General features: G+C 35.9%; 1 protein-coding gene across 4 annotated transcripts in view, besides 1 other annotated feature; it reads left to right on the top strand.

Annotated features, from left to right (window-relative positions):
* The window catches only part of CD200R1 (CD200 receptor 1), a 53,899-nt gene that overhangs the window by 28,753 nt on the left and 7,188 nt on the right, over positions 1-17,958 (top strand). For 2 of the 4 annotated variants that reach the window (NM_170780.3, NM_138806.4), the window contains 3 exons: positions 15,180-15,245; positions 16,844-17,161; positions 17,287-17,535. In NM_170780.3, coding sequence (NP_740750.1) covers positions 15,180-15,245; positions 16,844-17,161; positions 17,287-17,535 — 633 coding nt within the window. Of the gene's footprint in view, positions 1-15,179; positions 15,246-16,843; positions 17,536-17,958 lie in introns of those variants that run through there. The other 2 variants (NM_138940.3, NM_138939.3) reach the window with 1 other exon arrangement.
* Positions 12,544-12,713: an enhancer, noted in NCBI's record as "experimental_64462 CRE fragment used in MPRA reporter constructs". NCBI's record gives its function as "activates a minimal promoter by MPRAs in K562 erythroleukemia cells, with activity observed for the non-introgressed 3:112652570 variant allele {active_cell/tissue: K562}" and the evidence as "EXISTENCE:reporter gene assay evidence [ECO:0000049][PMID:34662402]".

Raw genomic sequence — 17,958 nt, 5'->3', positions numbered from 1 at the left:
ACCATGGATTGGAAATATTTGGAAAAAATTCCACAAAGTTCCAAAAAGCAAAACTTGAATTTGCCTTACTACATTGAGTCCACAGGATGTAGTGATATACAGGCATTGTATTAGGTATTATAAGTAATCTAGAGACGATTTAAAAAATACAGGTGGTTATATGCAAATACTAAGCCATTTTATACAAGGGATATGAGCATCTGTGGATTTTGGTATCCATGGGGTGATGGAATCCCTCAGAGGCAACAAGGGATGACTGTATTTTTTTTTTAGTATGTGGCTTATCTTTTCGTTCTCCTTTTTTTTTTTTTTTTTTTTGAGACGGAGTCTCGCTTTGTCGCCCAGGCTGGAGTGCAGTGGCGCGATCTTGGCTCACTGCAAGCTCCGCCTCCCGGGTTCACGCCATTCTTCTGCCTCAGCCTCCGGAGTAGAGTAGCTGGGACTACAGGCGCCAGCTACCACGCCCTGCTAATTTTTGTATTTTTAGTAGAGACGGGGTTTCACCGTGTTAGCCAAGATGGTCTCGATTTCCTGACCTCGTGATCCGCCCGCCTCGGCCTTCCAAAGTGCTGTGATTACAGGCGTGAGCCACTGCTCTTAGAAATTTTTCACAGAGTAGAAATTTTTAATTTTACTGAAGTCCAGTTTATAGATTCTTTATTTTATGGATTGTGCCTTTACTGTGGTAGCTAAAATGTCACTGCCAAACCAAAGATCATTTGGACTTTCTCTTATGTTACCTTCTAGGAGTGTTTTTAGTTTTGCATTTTTATATTTAGGACACTGATCCATTTTGAGTTTATTTTTGTGAAAGGTGTGAGGTCTGTATCTAGATTTAATTTATTTTTGCATCTGGATGTCCAGTCGTTCCAACACCATTTGTTCAAAAGACTCCAATGTATTGCCTTTGCTAATTTCCAAATACAATATTTATGTGAGCCTATTTCTGGGCTCTCTATTTGGTTTCATTTACTTATTTAGCTCTTCTTTTGCTAATAAAATACTGACTTGATTATTGTAGCTTTATAGTAAATCTTGAAGTCGAATAGTGTCAGGCCTCAAACTTTGTTCTTCTTCAATAATGTGTTGACTATTCTGAGTCTTTTGCCTCTCTAGATAAACTTAAAAATCAGTTTGTTTATGTCCATAAAATAACTTGCTGAGATTTTGGTTGGGATTGTGTTGAATACATAGATCAAGTTGGGAAAAACTGGGACTTTGGTAATATTCATTCACCCTATCTGTGAACATGAGGTCTCACTCCATTTACTTAGATTTTCTTTGATTCTTTTCCATCAGAGTTTTATAGTTTTCCTCATATAGATGTTGCACATATTTTGTTAGACTTATACCTAAGTATTTCATTTTTGGGGATGCTAATATAAATGGTATTGTGTTTTTAACTTCAAATTCCACTTGTTCACTGGTGACTTATTGGAAATTGTCATACAAACATTGACTTTTGTATGTTAACCTTGAATTAATATCTTCCATCACATCAATGAGTCAATACAATACAAAAAATTGACTTTTGTATGTTAACCTTGTATTTTGCAACCTTGCTGCAATTTCTTATTAGTTCTAGGAGTTTTTTTGGTCAATTCTTTCAGATGCTTTACATAGATAATTATGTCATGTATGAACAAAGACAGTTTTATTTCTTCGTTACTGATCTTGATCCCTTTTATTTATTTTTTCTTGTCTTATTGCATTAGTTAGAAATTCCAGTGGTGAATTAGTTAGAAAAGCATTAGTTAGAAAAGCAGTGGTGAAAAGAGTCATCTTGCTTTGCTCCTGATGCTTTGCTTTCTCACCATTAATTATGATGCTAGCTGTAGAGTTTTTTGTAGATGTTTTTTAAGTTGAGAAATTTCTCTTTATCCCAGTTTACTGAGAGTTTTTAAAAAATCATAAATGAATGTTAAATTTTGTCAAATGCTTTTTATGTATCTATGGAAATGATCATATTATTTAGCTTATTGATGTGATGGAAGATATTAATTCATTTTTGAATTTTGAGCCAGGCTTGCATATCTGGAATAAACCCCAGTTGTTCATGGAATATAATTCTTTTACTACATTCTTGAATTTGATTTACTAATATTTTACTGAGGATTTAAAAATGTATGTTTATGAGAGATATTGGTCTGTGGTTTTCTTTTTTGTAATGTTTTTGTCTGGTTTGGTTATTAGGATAATGCTAACCTGATAGAATGAGTTAGGAAGCATTCCCTCTGCTTCTGTTTCTGAAAGAGATTAAGGAGAGCTGGTATGATTTCTTCCTTAAATATTTAACAGAATTTATCAGTGAACCCATCTAGGCCTCGTACTGTGTGTCCTGAAAGGTTATTAATTATTGATTCAATTTATTTAATAGATACAGTCCTGTTCAATTTGCCTGTTTCTCCTTTAATTTATTTACTAGATATAGTCCTGTTTAAACTGCCAAATTGTTTTGGCAGGTTGTATCTTTTCAAGAATTGGTTTATTTCATCTGTGTTGTCAAATTTGTGGGCATAGAATTCTTCATAGTATTCTGTTATTATCATTTTAATGTAAATGGCATCTGTGTTAATATACCCTCTTTCATATCAGATATTAGCAACTTGTATCTTCTCTCTTTTTTTCTTGGTCTGGCCAGTGACTTATCAATTTTATTGATCTTTTCAAAGAACCAGGTTTTGGTTTTATTGATTTTCTCATTTTCAATTTTATTGTCTTCTGTTCTAATTTATATTTTCTTCTGCTTAATTTGGATTTAATTTGCTCTTCTATTTTCTAGTTTCGTAAAGTTGGAGTCTGGGTGATTGATTTTAGACCTTTCTAATTTTCTAATATGTGCATTCAATGCTATAAATTTCCCTCTAAGAACTACTCCTGCTGCATCCACAAATTTTGATAAATTGTGTTTTCATTTTCATTTATTTAAAAATATTTTAAAATTTCTCTTTAGGTTTCTTTTTTCACCTATGCATTATTTAGAAGTCTGTGGTATAATCTCCAAATATTTTGGAACTTTCCACTACCTTTTTGTTTTTCATTTCCAGTTTAATTCCATCATGGTCTAAAAGCAGGCATTATGTAATTTCTATTTTTTATATTTGTTAGGATGTGTTTTATGGCTCAGAATGTGGTCTATTTTGGTACAAGTTTCATATGAGCTGGAGAAGAATGTGTATGCTGCTCTTGTTAGAAAAAGTCATCTATAGATGTCAGTTATACTAGTTAATTGATGGTATTGTTGAATTCAGCTATTTTGTTACTGAATTTCTGCCTGCTGGATCTGTCTGTTTCTAATAGAGGGGTATTGAAGTCTCCAACTATTATAGCAGATTCATTTATTTCTCCTTGCTGTTCTATCAGTTTTTGCCTCATATATTTTGATCCTCTTTTGCTAGGTGCACATATGTTAAGGATTATTATTTCTTTTTGGAGAATTGACTCATATATTATTATGTAATGATAACACATCATTATGTAATAACTTTTCTTGCTCTGAAGTCATTGCTGTGTAAAATTAATATAGCTACTTCCATTTCCTTTTGATTAGTATTAGCATGACTTATCTTTATTCATCCCTTTTCTTTCAAACTACATATATATATATATCTCTTTAGATTTCAAGGTTTTTTGTAGACAACATATAATTGGTCTTGCTTTTTGATCTACTCTGACAATCTCCGTCTTTTATTTGGTGCATTCAGACCATTGATGTTCAAAGTGATTACTGATACTGTTAGATTAATATCTACCACAGTTGTTACTGTTTTCTTTTAGTGCCTCTGTTCTTTGTTCCTATTTTTGTCTTCTACTCTTTTCCTGCCTCTTATGATTTTACCTGAGTATTTTATATGATGCCATTTTCTATCCTCCTTAGCATATTAGTTATATTTCTATTTTTACTTTTTTAGTCATCACTTGAGCTTGCAATATACATTTATAATGAATCCAAATTAACTTTCAAATACTACTATATACTGTTTCATGGGTAGTGTGAATACCTTGCAATAACAAAATAGTCCTAGTTCCTTCCTTCCTTTCCTTGTATCATTATTTTATTCATTCTTCTTATACATAACACATACATAATCAAATACATTGTTACTATCATTATTTTGGACAAAGTGTTATCTGTTAGATTAATTAAGAATAAGAAAAATGCAAGTTTTAATTTTACCTTCACTTGTTTGTTTTCCAGTGTTCTTCTTGATATAGATCTGAGTTTTTGACTGATATTATTTTACTTCTCTCTAAAAAAATTTCTCTCAACATTTTTTGGAAGGCAGGCCTACAGACAACAAATTCCCACAATTTTTGTTTGTCTGAGAACATCTTTATTTCTCCTTCAGTTTTGGAGGATAGTTTTTGCAGGACATGAAATTCTAGGTTGGTAGTTTTTTTCCCTCAACACCTCAAATATTTTACTTTGCTGTCTTCTTGCTTGCATGGTCTCTGAGGAGAAGTTGGGTATAATTCTTTTCTTTTCTTCTTGGTAGGTAAGGTGTTTTTCCCTTCTGGCTTCTTTCTGAAGTATTTCTTTACATTTGATTTTCTGTAATTTGAAAATAATACATCTAGGTGTAGGTTATTTTTGGCATTTATTCTGCTTGGCGTTCTCTGAGTTTCCTGGATCTGTGATTTAGTGTCTGAAATTAATTTGGAGAAAATTCTTAGTCATTATTATTTAAAGTATTTCTTATTTTTTTCATTTTTTTAACTACAATATAGCAACTTTTCAAAAACAAAATTTGAAATAGATTAAAACTATTGTGATTGTGAAAAACTCTACAGAGCTCAAGGGAAGGAATGCATGTTGATCTCAGAAATTATGGAATTAGAAAGTTGAACTAGATGAGGGCTCTCATCTCTGTTCCTCTCCTGCTTCTGCTTTAGTTACTTATTTATATTAATTTTAACTGACACATAATAATTGCACATATTTATGGGGTACATAGTAATATTTTGATACATACAATTTGTAGTAATCAGATCATGGTAATTGGCATATCCTTCACTTCAAACATTTCCTTGTGTTGGGAACATTCAATATCTTCTTCTAGCTCTTTGAAAATATGTAATATATTATTGTGAACTATAGTCATCCTACAGTACTATAAAACAATAGAACTTGCTCATCCTACCTAGCTATAATTTTGTGCCCTTTAACAAATTTCCTCTATTCCCCCCTTTCCCTTACCCTTTGTAGTCTATAGAAGCCTGTGTTCTGCCTTTTACTTCTATGAGACCAACTTTTTTTAAACTTCTGCATAGAATGAGAACATGTGATGTTTGGCTTTTTGTTCTTGGCTTATTTCACTCAACATAATATCCTCCGGTTCCATCCATGTTGCTGTGAATGACAAGATTTCATTTTTTATGGCTGAATAGTATTCCATTGTGTATATATACCACATTTTCTTTATCCATTCATTTGTTATTGGGCGTTTGGGTTGATTTCCTGTCTTGGCTATTGTGAATATTGCTGTAATAAACATAGGGGTGCAGATAGATATTTCTTTAACATATTTATTTCCTTTCCTTTGAATAAATGTTTACGAGCAAGATTGCTGGATCATATGACATTTCTATTTCTAATTTTTTTAGGAACTTCCATACTATTCTTCATAGAGACTGTATTAGTTTACATTCCTATCAGTGATTTATAAGAATTCCCTTTTCTTTGCATCCTCACCAACATTTATTTGTGTCTTTTTGATAATAGCCATTCTAACTGGGGTGAATGATATCTCCTTGTGATTTTAATTGACATTTCCTTGATGATTAGTGATGTTGAGCACTTTTTCATGTATTTGTTAACCATATGTATGTCTTCTGTTCAGAAATATCTGTATCAATTACCCATTTTTAAGTTAGTTTTTCTGTTATTGTGGAGATATTTGAATTCCTTGTATATCTGGATATTACTCTTTTGTTGGATGAATATTTTACAAATATTTTATCCCATTCTGTAAGTTTATTCATTCTGTTTATTGTTTTGCTGTGCAGAAGGTTTTTAGTTTTATATAATCCCATGTGTTTATTTTTGCTTTAGTTACCTATGCTATTGAGGTCTTATTCTTAAAATTATTTCTCAGATCAATGTCCTGAAGTATTTCATCGGTGTTTTCTTCTAGCAGTTTTATAGTTTCTGGTCTTATATTTAGGTCTTCAATGAATTTTGAGTTGATTTTTGTATGGGGTGAGAGGCAGGAGGTCTAGTTTCATTCTTCTGCATATGAATATTCAGTTTACCCAGCGCCATTTATTAAAGAAGGTGTCCTTTCCCAAATGTATGTTCTTGACATCTTTGTCAAAGCAGTTGACTGTATATATGTGGACTAATTTCTGGGTTCTCTATGCTGTTCCATTTTTCTATGTGTCGGTTTTTATGCCAGTACCATGCTGTTTTGATTAGTACAGCTTTATGGTATATTTTGAAGTCTGTTAGTGTGATGCCGCAGCTTGTTTTTTTTTTTTTTTTGGTTTGTTTGTTTTTTGCTCAGTATGGGCTTTGGCTGTTTCGGGTCTTTTGTGGTTCCATGTAAATTTCAGGATTTTTTTTCTATTTTTGTTAAATGAAATGACACTTCATTGGTATCTTGATAGTAATTACATTTATTCTGTAGACTACTTTGGGTAGTATGGGCATTTTAACAATATTAGTTATTCTAGTCCATGAATATGGGATGTCTTTCTATTTTTTGTGTCTTCTTAAATTTCTTTCTGCAGTGTTGTATGGCTTTACTTGCAGAGATCTTTCATCTCCTTGGTTAAATTCATTCGTAGATATTTTATTCATTCATTTATATATTTTTGTAGCTATTGTAAATGGGATTGCTTTCATGATTTCCTTTTCATCTGGTTTGTTGTTTGTGTATAGAAATGCTACTAAGTTTTGTCTATTGATTTTGTATGCTGCAACTTTATTGAATTTGTTTATCAGTGTTAACAGTTTTTTGGTGCAGTCTTTAGGGTTTCTCTATATAAGATAATTTTATCTGGAAACATGGACAATTTGACTTCCTCCTTTCTAAATTGGATGTACTTTACTTATTTATTTTTCTTGCCTAATTTCTCTGGGCCAGACTTCCAGTACTATCTTGAATAACAAGGGTGAGAGTAGGCACTTTTTCTTCTAATTCTTCTTCTAATTCTTAAAAGCTGAAAGCTTTTCCCCATTTAGTATAATATTAGCTACATGGCCTATAGATGGCCTTTATTGTGTTGAAGTACTTTCTTCTGTACCTAATTTATTGAAAGTTTTTAGTGATGAAGGGATGTTGAATTTTATAAAATGCTTTTTCTGATCATATGATATTAAAATAATCACCTAGTTTTTGTTCTTCATTTTGTTGATGCAATGTATCACAAATATCGATTTGCATATGTTGAACCATCCTTGCATATCTGAGGTGAATCTCACTTGATTATGGTGCCTGATGTTTTTGATGTTCTGTTGAATTCATTTGCTAGTATTTTATATATATGTTTATTAGTAGTATTGGCTTGTGCTTTTCTTTTTTGCTGTGTCTTATCTGGTTTTTGTATCACAATCATGCTGGGCTTGTCAAATGAGTTTTGACATTCGATGACATTCAAATGAGTTTTACATTCAATTTTTTGGAATAGTTTGAAGTATTTCATCTGTGTATCAAGGACTGGTATTAGTTCTTTAAAAGTTTGGTAGAATTCAGCTGTGAAGCCATTTGTTCCTGGACTTTTCTTTGTTGGGAGACTTTTCATTACTAATTCAATCTCATTACTCATTATTGGACTGAGGTTTTCCATTTCTTGTTGGTTTAAAGTTGTTAGGTTGTCTGTATCCGGGAATTTTTCAGTTTTCTCTAATCTTTTGAATTTATTCATGTGTAGTTGTTCATAATAGTTTCTAATGGTCTTTTGTATTTATGTAGTCTCTGTTATTATGTCTCCTTTTTGTTTCTGATTTTATTAATTTGGTTTTTTCTCTTTTTTTCTTTATTCATCTAGCTAATGGCTTGTCAATTATGTTAATCTTTTTACAAACCCACAGCTCATATCATACTGAATGGGCAAAAACTAGAAGCATTCCCCTTGAAAACTGGCACAAGACAAGGATGCCCTCTCTCACCACTTCTATTTAACATGGTATTGGAAGTTGTGGCCAGGGTAATCATGCAAGAGAAAGAAACAAAGAAAATTCAAATAGGAGGAGAGGAACTCAAGTTATCTTTGTTTGCAGATAACATGATTCTATATCTAGAAAACCCCATCATCTCAGCCCAAAAGCTTCTTAAGCTGATAAGTAACTTCTGCAAAGTTTCAGGATCCAAAATCATTGTGCAAAAATTGCTAGTATTCCTATACACCAACAACAGACAAGACAAGAGCCAAATCATAAATGAACGCCCATTCACAATTGCCACAAAAGAATAAAATACCTAGGAAAACAACTAACAAGGGAAGTGAAGGACCTCTTTAAGAAAAACTATAAACTGCTGCTCAAAGAAATCAGAGATGACACAAACAAATGGAAAAACAGTCCATGCTCATGGATAGGAAGAATCAATATTGTGAAAATGACCATACTGCCCAAAATAGTTTATAGATTCAGTGCTATTCCCATTAAGCTACAATTGACATTGTTCACAGAATTAGAAAAAACAGTTTTAAAATTCATATGGAACCAAAACATAACCCAAATAGCAAAGGCAATTCTCAGCAAAAAGAACAAAGCTGGAAGCATCATGCTACCTGACTTCAAACTATACTATAGGGCTACAGTAATCAAAACAGCATGGTAGTTGTACGAGAACAGACACATAGACCAATGGAACAGAATAGAGAACCCAGAAATAACACCGCACACCTACAACTATCTTATCTTTGACAAACCTGACAGAAACAAGCAATGGGGAAAGGATTCCCTATTTAATAAATGGTGCTGGGACAGCTGGCTAGCCATATGAAGAAAATTGAAAGTGGACCCCTTCTGATATGGTTTGGCTGTGTCCCCACCCAAATCTCATCTTGAAATGTAGTTTCTATAATCTCCATGTGTCATGGGAGGGACCTGCTGGGAGGTAATTTAATCATGGGGGGCAGTTACTCTCATGCTGTTCTCATGATAGTGAGTGAATTCTCATGAGATTTGACGGTTTTATAAGGGGCTTTTCCTCCTTTTGCTTGGCACTTCTCCATGCTGCTGCCATGTGAAAAAGGACATGTCTGCTTCCCCTTCTGTCGTGATTGTAAATTTTCTGAGGCCTCCCAAGCCATGCTGAACTATGAGTCAATTAAACCTCTTTCTTTTATAAATTATCCAGTCTTGGGTATGTCTTTATTAGCAGCATGAGAGCAGAGTAAAACACCTTCCTTACATCATGTACAAAAATCAACTCAAGATGGATTAAAGACTTAAACGTAAAACCCCAAACTCTAAAAACCCTAGAAGAAAATCAAGACAATATCATTCAGGACATAGGCTCAGGCAAAGATTTCATGATTTCATGACAAAGATGCCAAAAGCAACTTCAACAAAAACAAAAATTGACAAATGGGATCTGATTAAACTAAAGAGCTTCTGCACAGCCAAAGAAACTATCAACAGAGTAAACAGACAACCTACAGAATGGGAGAAAAGTTTTATAATCTATTCATCTAACAAAGGCCTAATGTCCAGCATCTACAAGGAACTTAAACAAATGTATAAGAAAAAAAGAACCCCATTAAAAAGTGGGTAAGGAACATGAATAGATAATTCTCAAAAGAAGACATACATGCAACCAAGAAACATATGAAAAAAAGCTCAACATCACTGATCATTAGAGAAATGCAAATCAAAACTACAATGAGATACTATCTCACACCAGTCAGAATGGTGATTACTAAAAAGTCCAGAAACAACAGATGCTAGCGAGGTTATGGAGAAAAAGGAACACTTTTACACTGTTGGTGGGAGTGTAAATTAGTGCAACCATTGTGGAAGACAATGTGGTGATTCATCAAAGACATAGAGGCAGAAATACTGTTTGACTCGGCAATCTGATTACTGGGTATATACCCAAAGGAATATAAATAATTCCATTTTAAGGATACATGCACGTGTATGTTCATTGCAGCACTATTCACAATAGCAAAGACATGAAGTCAACCTAAATGCCCATCAGTGATAGACTGAATAAAGAAAATGTGGTACATATATACCATGAAATATTATGCAGCCATGTATAGATGAGTTCATGTCCTTTGCAGGGACATGGATGCAGGTGGAGGTGATTAGATTATCCTCAGCAAACTAATGCAGAAACAGAAAACCAAACAGTGCATTTTCTCACTTATAAGTGGGAGCTGAATGATAAGAACACATGGACATATGGAGGGTGGAAACACACACTGGAGCCTGTCAGAGGGTGGGGAGTGGGAGGAGGGAGAGCATCAGAAAGAATAGCTGATGGATGCTGGGCTTAATACCTCGGTGATGGAATGATCTGTGCAGCAAATCACCATGGCATACATTTACCTAATAAACCTGCACATCCTACCTATATACCCCTGAAGTTAAAATATTGCAAACAGAAAAAACAAAACTTTTTTGTTGTTGGTTTTTTGCATTTCTTTTTAGGTTCAGTTTCATTGAGTTCTGCTCTGATCTTTATTCCTCCTACTAATTTTGGGTTCAGTTTATTCCTGGTTTTCTTCCTTAATATGTGCTGTTAGGATGTTAATTTGAAATATTACTACTTTTTTGATGTAGGGATTTATTGCTATGGATTTGCCTCTTAATGCTGCTTTTGCTGTATCCCTTAGGTTTTGGTATTTTGTGTTTCTATTTTCATTTGTTTCAAGAAATTCTTAAACTTCTTAATTTCTTTCTTTACTCATTTGTCATTCAGGAACATGCTGTTTAACTTTCATGTATTTGTATAGTTTCAAATGTTCCTCTTGTTATTGATTTCTAATTTTATTCCATTGTGGTCACATAAGATGATATGATTGTAATTTTTAAAAATTATTTGAGACTTGTTTTGTGACCTAACATATTGTCAATTCTGGAGAATGTTCCATGTGCTGGTGAAAATAATGTGTATTTTGCAGCTGTTATATAAAATGTTCTGTAAAGGTCTGTTAGGTCTGTTTGATTTATGGTGTGGTTTAGATCCAATGTTTCTTGATTTTCTGTCTAGATCATCTGCCTAATGCTGAAAGTAGGGTGTTGAAGTCCCCACCTATTATTGCTTTGAGGTTTATCTCTCCCTTTAGCTTTAATAATATTAGCTTTATATATCTGGGTGCTCCAACATTGGGTCCATATATATTTCCAATTGTTATGTCGTCTTGCTGAATAAATTCCTTTATTTTTACATAATGTTCTTTTTTATATAGCCTTTGTCTTAAAGTCTGTTTTATCTAATGTAAGTATAGCTACTCCTGCTTGTATTTGGATTCTGTTTGCATGTCTTTTTTCCACTCCACTTTCAGTTTATGTGTGTCTTTACAGGTGAGATGAGTTTCCTGTAGGTGGCATATAGTTGGTTTTTTGAGATGGAGTTTCGCTCTTGTCACCCAGGCTGGAGTGCAATGGCATGATCTTGGTTCACTGCAACCTCTGCTTCCCCGGTTCAAGCAATTCTCCTGCCTCAGCCTCCTGAGTAGCTGGGATTACAGGTGCCCGCCACCATGTCCAGCTAATTTTTGTATTTTTAGTAGGGATGGGGTTTCATCATGTTGGCCGGGCTAGTCTCAAACTCTTGACTTCAGGTAATGCACCCTCCTTGGCCTCCCAAAGTGCTAGGATTACAGGCGTGAGCCACCATGCCCAGCTGGGTCTTATATTTTTAAATCCACTTGGCCAGTCTATATCTTTTAATTGGGAAATTGAATCCATTTACATTCAAGATTATTTGATAGATGAGAACTTACATCTGTCATTTTATTGATTTTTTTTTTCTGCTTGGTGACAGTCTTGCCTTTATTTCTGAAGGATAGTTTTTCTGGATATAATATTCACTGACAGTTATTTTCTTTCAGTACTTTGAATGTATCACTCCATTTTCTCTTGGCCCATAAGGTTTCTGATGAGAAATCTGCTATCAGTATAAGGGGGATTCCCTTATATTTGGCTTGATGCTTTTCTCTTGCGTGTTTTTATCATTCTTCCTTTGTCTTTGCCTTTTGATAATTTGACTATAACATTCCTTAGAGAGGATGTATTTGGGTTAAATCTATTTGGGAAATTTTGAACTTCTTGGATCTGAATCTCTCTCTCTCTCCCAAAACTTGGAAAGTTTTCTGCTATTATTTTATTAAATATGTTTTCTGTGCCTTTTTCTTTCTTTTCTCCTTCCAGAATTTTTATAATGTGAATGTTTTTTGCTTACTGATGTCTCCTAAATCCTGTAAACTTTATTTTTTTAAAATTCTTTTTCTTTTTGTTTTTAAAATCCTCATGTATTATTTCAAAAGACTTGTCTTCAAGTTCAGAAATCCTTTCCTCTACGTTTTCTATGCTGTTGTTGAAAAATCGTATTTTTTATTTCATTCATTGACTTCTTCAGCTCTAAAATCTCTTTTTTTATGATAGCTATCTTTTTGTTGAATTTTTCATTTAAATCACAAATTGTTTTCCTGATTTTATTGAATTGTTTATCTGTATTCTCTTTTATCTCATTGAGTTTCCTTAAGATTATTATTTTGAATTCTTCTTCTGGCATTTCATATATTGCCTTATAATTGGTTATGTTACTGGAGAATTACTGGGTTGATTTGGGGGGTCTATCATATTTTCTTGCTTTTTCATGTTTGATGTGTTTCTATGTTGATACCTACATATCTGGTGCAATTGTCGCCTCTTCTAATTTTATGGTGTAGGCTTCTTAAGAAAAAGCTTATTTATATGTAATCCATTCTAGTGATGTTTGCAAGTGTCCCTATGACCTAGGTGGTGAGTTTGTGGCAGCAGTGGCACAGCTTTGCTGGGAGTTGGTTTGCCAGCCTGCTTTTCAGGTTATGGGTGCTTGTGTGCACATGGTGGGTTACTCAACTTGGCATCTGGCTTGCTGGGTTTGGGACTATGGGGCTCTTACTCTGGCCCTGGGCACAAGCACATGGTTGTTTGGCTATCCTCAGGGCATGTCTGCTAGGGGTGGACCCACTGGGCTGTTTCTTAGGTTCTGGAGTGGGTGGGCAGCCACTCGGCCAGTCTGGGGGCATGTCTGCTGAGAGTGGGCCCACCAGATTATTTCTTAGGCCCTGGGTACAGGTCCCCACCTGCTCAGCTGGTCTGTAGGTATGTCCACCAGGGGCATGCCTGCTGTGCTGTTTCTCAGTTCCTGGGGGTGAATGCACAATCTGTCAGTCTAGGGTTGTTCACAGTAGGGGCCCGCTGGCTGTTTCTCAGGCCCAGGACATAATCATGCAGACACTCAGCTGGCCTGGCTGAGTTTCCACTAGTGGTGGATCCACTGGGTTGTTTCTTAGGCTCTGGTTACAGGCACGGGGCCACTTGGTAGGCCTGGGGTTATATTTGCCAACAGTGAGCTTGTGGGGCTGTTTCTCAGCCGTGGATGTGACTGCTGGGCTGGCCTGGGGGGGATGTCCACTGGGAGTGGATCTGCCCTGCTGTTTCTCAGGCCCCAGTTGTGGGTATGGAACTGATATGTAGGTCTGGGGATGTGTCCTCTGGGAGCGACACCCTTGACAGTTTCCCAGATCCTGAGTGTTGGTGTGGGCTGCTGATTAGTCATGGGGGTGTATCTGCCACATGGAGGGCTCACAGGGCTATTTCTCAGGCCTTGAGTGAGGGCATGGGGCTGCTGGGGAGGCCTGGGGACATGTCTGTGGCCATGTTTGTTGGGGAGGAGGCACAGGACTGTTTCCCAGGCCCTGGGTGAGGATGCATGTACACTCAGCTGGCCTAGGGTTATGTCAGCTGCTGGGTCCTCTCCCCTTCAGGAGAGGGCATGCAGTGGTTTGGCCAGCTCAATGGCAGGTTTGTCCCGGGTAGGACTGCCAGACTGTTTCTCTGGCTGGAAGTGTGGGGAGAGGGGATTGGTTTCCCTACTGTGCAGGACCAGAGTCACAGCCAATCCTGAGCCCAGGCTCCATGCAGCAAATGTATAGCCAGCTGGTGGGCTGGAGAGGTACAGTGGCTACTAGTCCCCAGGACACGGTGTACTTCAAAAGTGGCTCTAGTCCATGGTGGCCCCTTGCTGCAGCAGCTTGGCTCACAGAGGGTGGGTGGGAGGTAGCAGGTGTACACATTGTGCCCCTTATCTGGAGCAGTGCAGCTGTATGAATTCCTGGTAGCACTCCACACTGGGCTCAGGGCTTGTGAGGACTGTGAAATTCTCTTGAAATAACTCTTTTCAGTAGCTATAGGGGCTGGTGGGGTTCTTCTGCTTATGTTTTCCCTGCAAGAGGAAGTCCCTCCTGAGCCTGGGCCAATCCAGGAAGAGGATGTGGAAGGATGGGGTGCCAGAGGCAGGGTGCTTTTATGCTTCCCTCCTGAGCTTCTGATGACCACGAGCTCCTCTCCACTACTTTTCTGCACTCCTGCACTCTCCCTTTGATACTCCAGTAGAATCTTAGCTGTCTATTGCTTGGTCCTTTCTTTTGGAGGAGATGTGCACCAGGGGCCTCTAGTCAGCCATCTTGCTGACATTTGCTTCTGCTATATTTTTCCCTTTGTACTCTAATAAGTAGAAAACAAAATGAGAAAGCAACAGAGATGGATGGCCCCTTCTCAGTTTTGCTTCTAAAATTCTTGAGAAAGGGCACTGCTGTATTAACCTGGGTGAAGTGCCCAACATTGGACCAAATAACTTTGATTGGGAAGTGGTAGCTGAAGAAAGGGATATAATTGGACCAGCTCATGTGAGATGCTCACGTAGACCAATCTCCCTGGCTGAGGAAGAAGGATGCAGTAGAGGCAGGTTTATCTTTTTCAAAATATTTCAAAACAAGGTGTATCACGAAAGAGAAATTATTGATTACTTAAGTATAATTTTCAGGATATTAACACATTTAGTCCCCTAATGATGGCATGACTTCTAATTTCTGTTTTACAATGATTTTTGTGTAATTTTAATTATGGTTAACTGATTGCCTATCATGTTGGATAAGACTTTGTGGAGGGATACTGGCTTCCACTCTGAGTACATAAAATTGATTTCATTTATTCTTCTCTAAATATTTTCTAGCTTCAAGCAGTTTATGTATGGATGAAAAACAGATTACACAGAACTACTCGAAAGTACTCGCAGAAGGTAATATGCTTCCTTACTAGTGGCCAGCACCTAGGGATGGAAAGTTGAACTTCCTTAGAAATATTAGCTAATGACCTGACTGGAAGCCAGCCTTATGACTACTTGAAGAACTTGGTGATCTGAGTACTGTGGTATGAGGGATCCTGAATGACCCAACCTCTAGTTGTTCTCCAAACAAGCCATGTTCTTGCTTGTCTCTGAACCTTTGCTAAGGTGGAGTGGCGGAAGGAGCATGGATTTAACTACCTCTCAGATCTATGTTAAAGTATTACCTCTTTCTTCATCTAGTTATGTACTTATTAATTTGCTGTGAAATGCAAGGGCTAGAGTACAAACCATGTAAGAGACAGGTGACACCAAAACAGGATAGGAAAGATGTTAAATGCAGGGTTTAGCAAAAACATCCTTCACCCACATAAAGGTTTGCCCCTCTATAGCTGATTCTGCTTATGCTATAGTGATGAAATCACTGACACTTACCTTTGTTAGAGGTGAGTAGTGACAAATACTTTGGTGGACTAATCACCTCTCAGTAAACCCTTACCAAGTCACTGACACATTGTGTCGATTTATGGGATGCATGAGGTTCTACGTTGGAAGATGCTTGTAGGATGCAGGGCTTAATTTTTCCTTTAAATGATGGACAACAGGGATCAACTTACGCCTTTAGTGTTGATAATTGGATTGAATATACAGAAATAAAATCTGTGAGCTAAGTTCACAGCTGAACTATCTGAAAGTGTATGTGTGACTAAATAGGAAGGAATGAAAACTCATCCAAAGGCTACATTTGATAATGTCATAAATTTGCAATAAAATATTTTTAATAAAAAATGTCTAAAGGGAAATAAATCGTTTTTTAAAAATTATATATCACACTATATTTTCACAAGAAATAAATATTTCTAAGCATCTCTTATCACAGGGCATTATCATTTTTCATTTTTATGGGATGGCTCAACTGGTGGAATAATAGTTTTTTTTTTTTTAAAGATCTGTGGGTTTCACTGACTTTGTGATTCTTTTTAAAAAAAAGAACTTAAAAAAATTTCTAGCTAGTTCAACCCAAATGCCATATTAGTTACTTTAAAAGAAAGCACTATATATTAATACATACCACATTTATGTTTGTCTGAAACAAAAACCTTAGAGATAGACTTTTTTGTGCTCACCAAAGCTGAGGAGGAGACAGCCACATCACTAATTGTTCCATTTTCTTTCCTGTGGCACATACATTGTATGATAAAGGCAATAGTCTCCACCACCTAAAGATTAGATGTAGAACATTGCCTTTGTTGTTTAATTTACAATTCTCTTTGTTTCTAGATATTAAAACTTCTCCATTAATATAAAAAATACTTTATTATATATCATATTTCTAATAATACATAATACAGGAGAAAATTGGTTAATCTCTAGATTGGGTTCAATATATTATTTATATTTTGAGAATTTTAATTTTTTATGAAGGTCTAATATTTTTGGAATAAGATCACCAACAAAGTTATGTTCTAGTGTAACTTCATATGTTGTGGATAAATGTAACACATGAAGTTCTTTATCAAGCTTTTCTTTTATCATTCTCTTTTCATGTCCAGTTAACACTTCATGGCCTGTAAAGATGGCTACAAATGCTGTGCTTTGTTGCCCTCCTATCGCATTAAGAAATTTGATCATAATAACATGGGAAATAATCCTGAGAGGCCAGCCTTCCTGCACAAAAGCCTACAAGAAAGAAACAAATGAGACCAAGGAAACCAACTGTACTGATGAGAGAATAACCTGGGTCTCCAGACCTGATCAGAATTCGGACCTTCAGATTCGTACCGTGGCCATCACTCATGACGGGTATTACAGATGCATAATGGTAACACCTGATGGGAATTTCCATCGTGGATATCACCTCCAAGTGTTAGGTAAGGAGCATCATATATTGAGGTATTTCACATCACCAGATTTGTGACGGAAACAAATGTCTCTCTGAATTCCATATGCTTTATGTGAAAACCGAAGCATTTTTTTCCCTCTTTCCTCTCTGCAGTTACACCTGAAGTGACCCTGTTTCAAAACAGGAATAGAACTGCAGTATGCAAGGCAGTTGCAGGGAAGCCAGCTGCGCATATCTCCTGGATCCCAGAGGGCGATTGTGCCACTAAGCAAGAATACTGGAGCAATGGCACAGTGACTGTTAAGAGTACATGCCACTGGGAGGTCCACAATGTGTCTACCGTGACCTGCCACGTCTCCCATTTGACTGGCAACAAGAGTCTGTACATAGAGCTACTTCCTGGTCAGTAATTCTTTTAGTTTTATTTTTTATTTTTTTCCATTCTTTTAAAAGAGTTAAGAAAAAAAAAGATGTGCAAATATATTTTGTTCGAGGATGCTCTCCCCACTCTTCATTTTTATCTCTTCCCTGACCAAAATAAAGAGATGAGTTGAGGAGAATAGTACAGACATTTGTTGTAAAAAGCCCTTTTTTAGAATGCAGTTTAATTCTACTATTAATGTTCACTTCTATGCTAGTAGTTAATTAGCATGAGTAGTATACTTTTAAAAATAATACTTATGGCTTATTGAAAGATAAAGTATACTTTGAAGCATGTAATTATGGTTCTATTAGAAGGATACATTTACTCAAAGTTGCTTTTATGAATTTTTAGTTTGTTGTAATTTTGTTTTCTGGACTTTTCATCATTGAATTTCTTAAATG

This window comes from Homo sapiens, chromosome 3, assembly GCF_000001405.40.
Source record: "Homo sapiens chromosome 3, GRCh38.p14 Primary Assembly".
In the NCBI taxonomy this organism is placed as follows: domain Eukaryota; kingdom Metazoa; phylum Chordata; class Mammalia; order Primates; family Hominidae; genus Homo; species Homo sapiens.
Note: the sequence above shows the minus strand (reverse complement) of the source record. Positions and strands in the feature narration are given on the sequence as shown.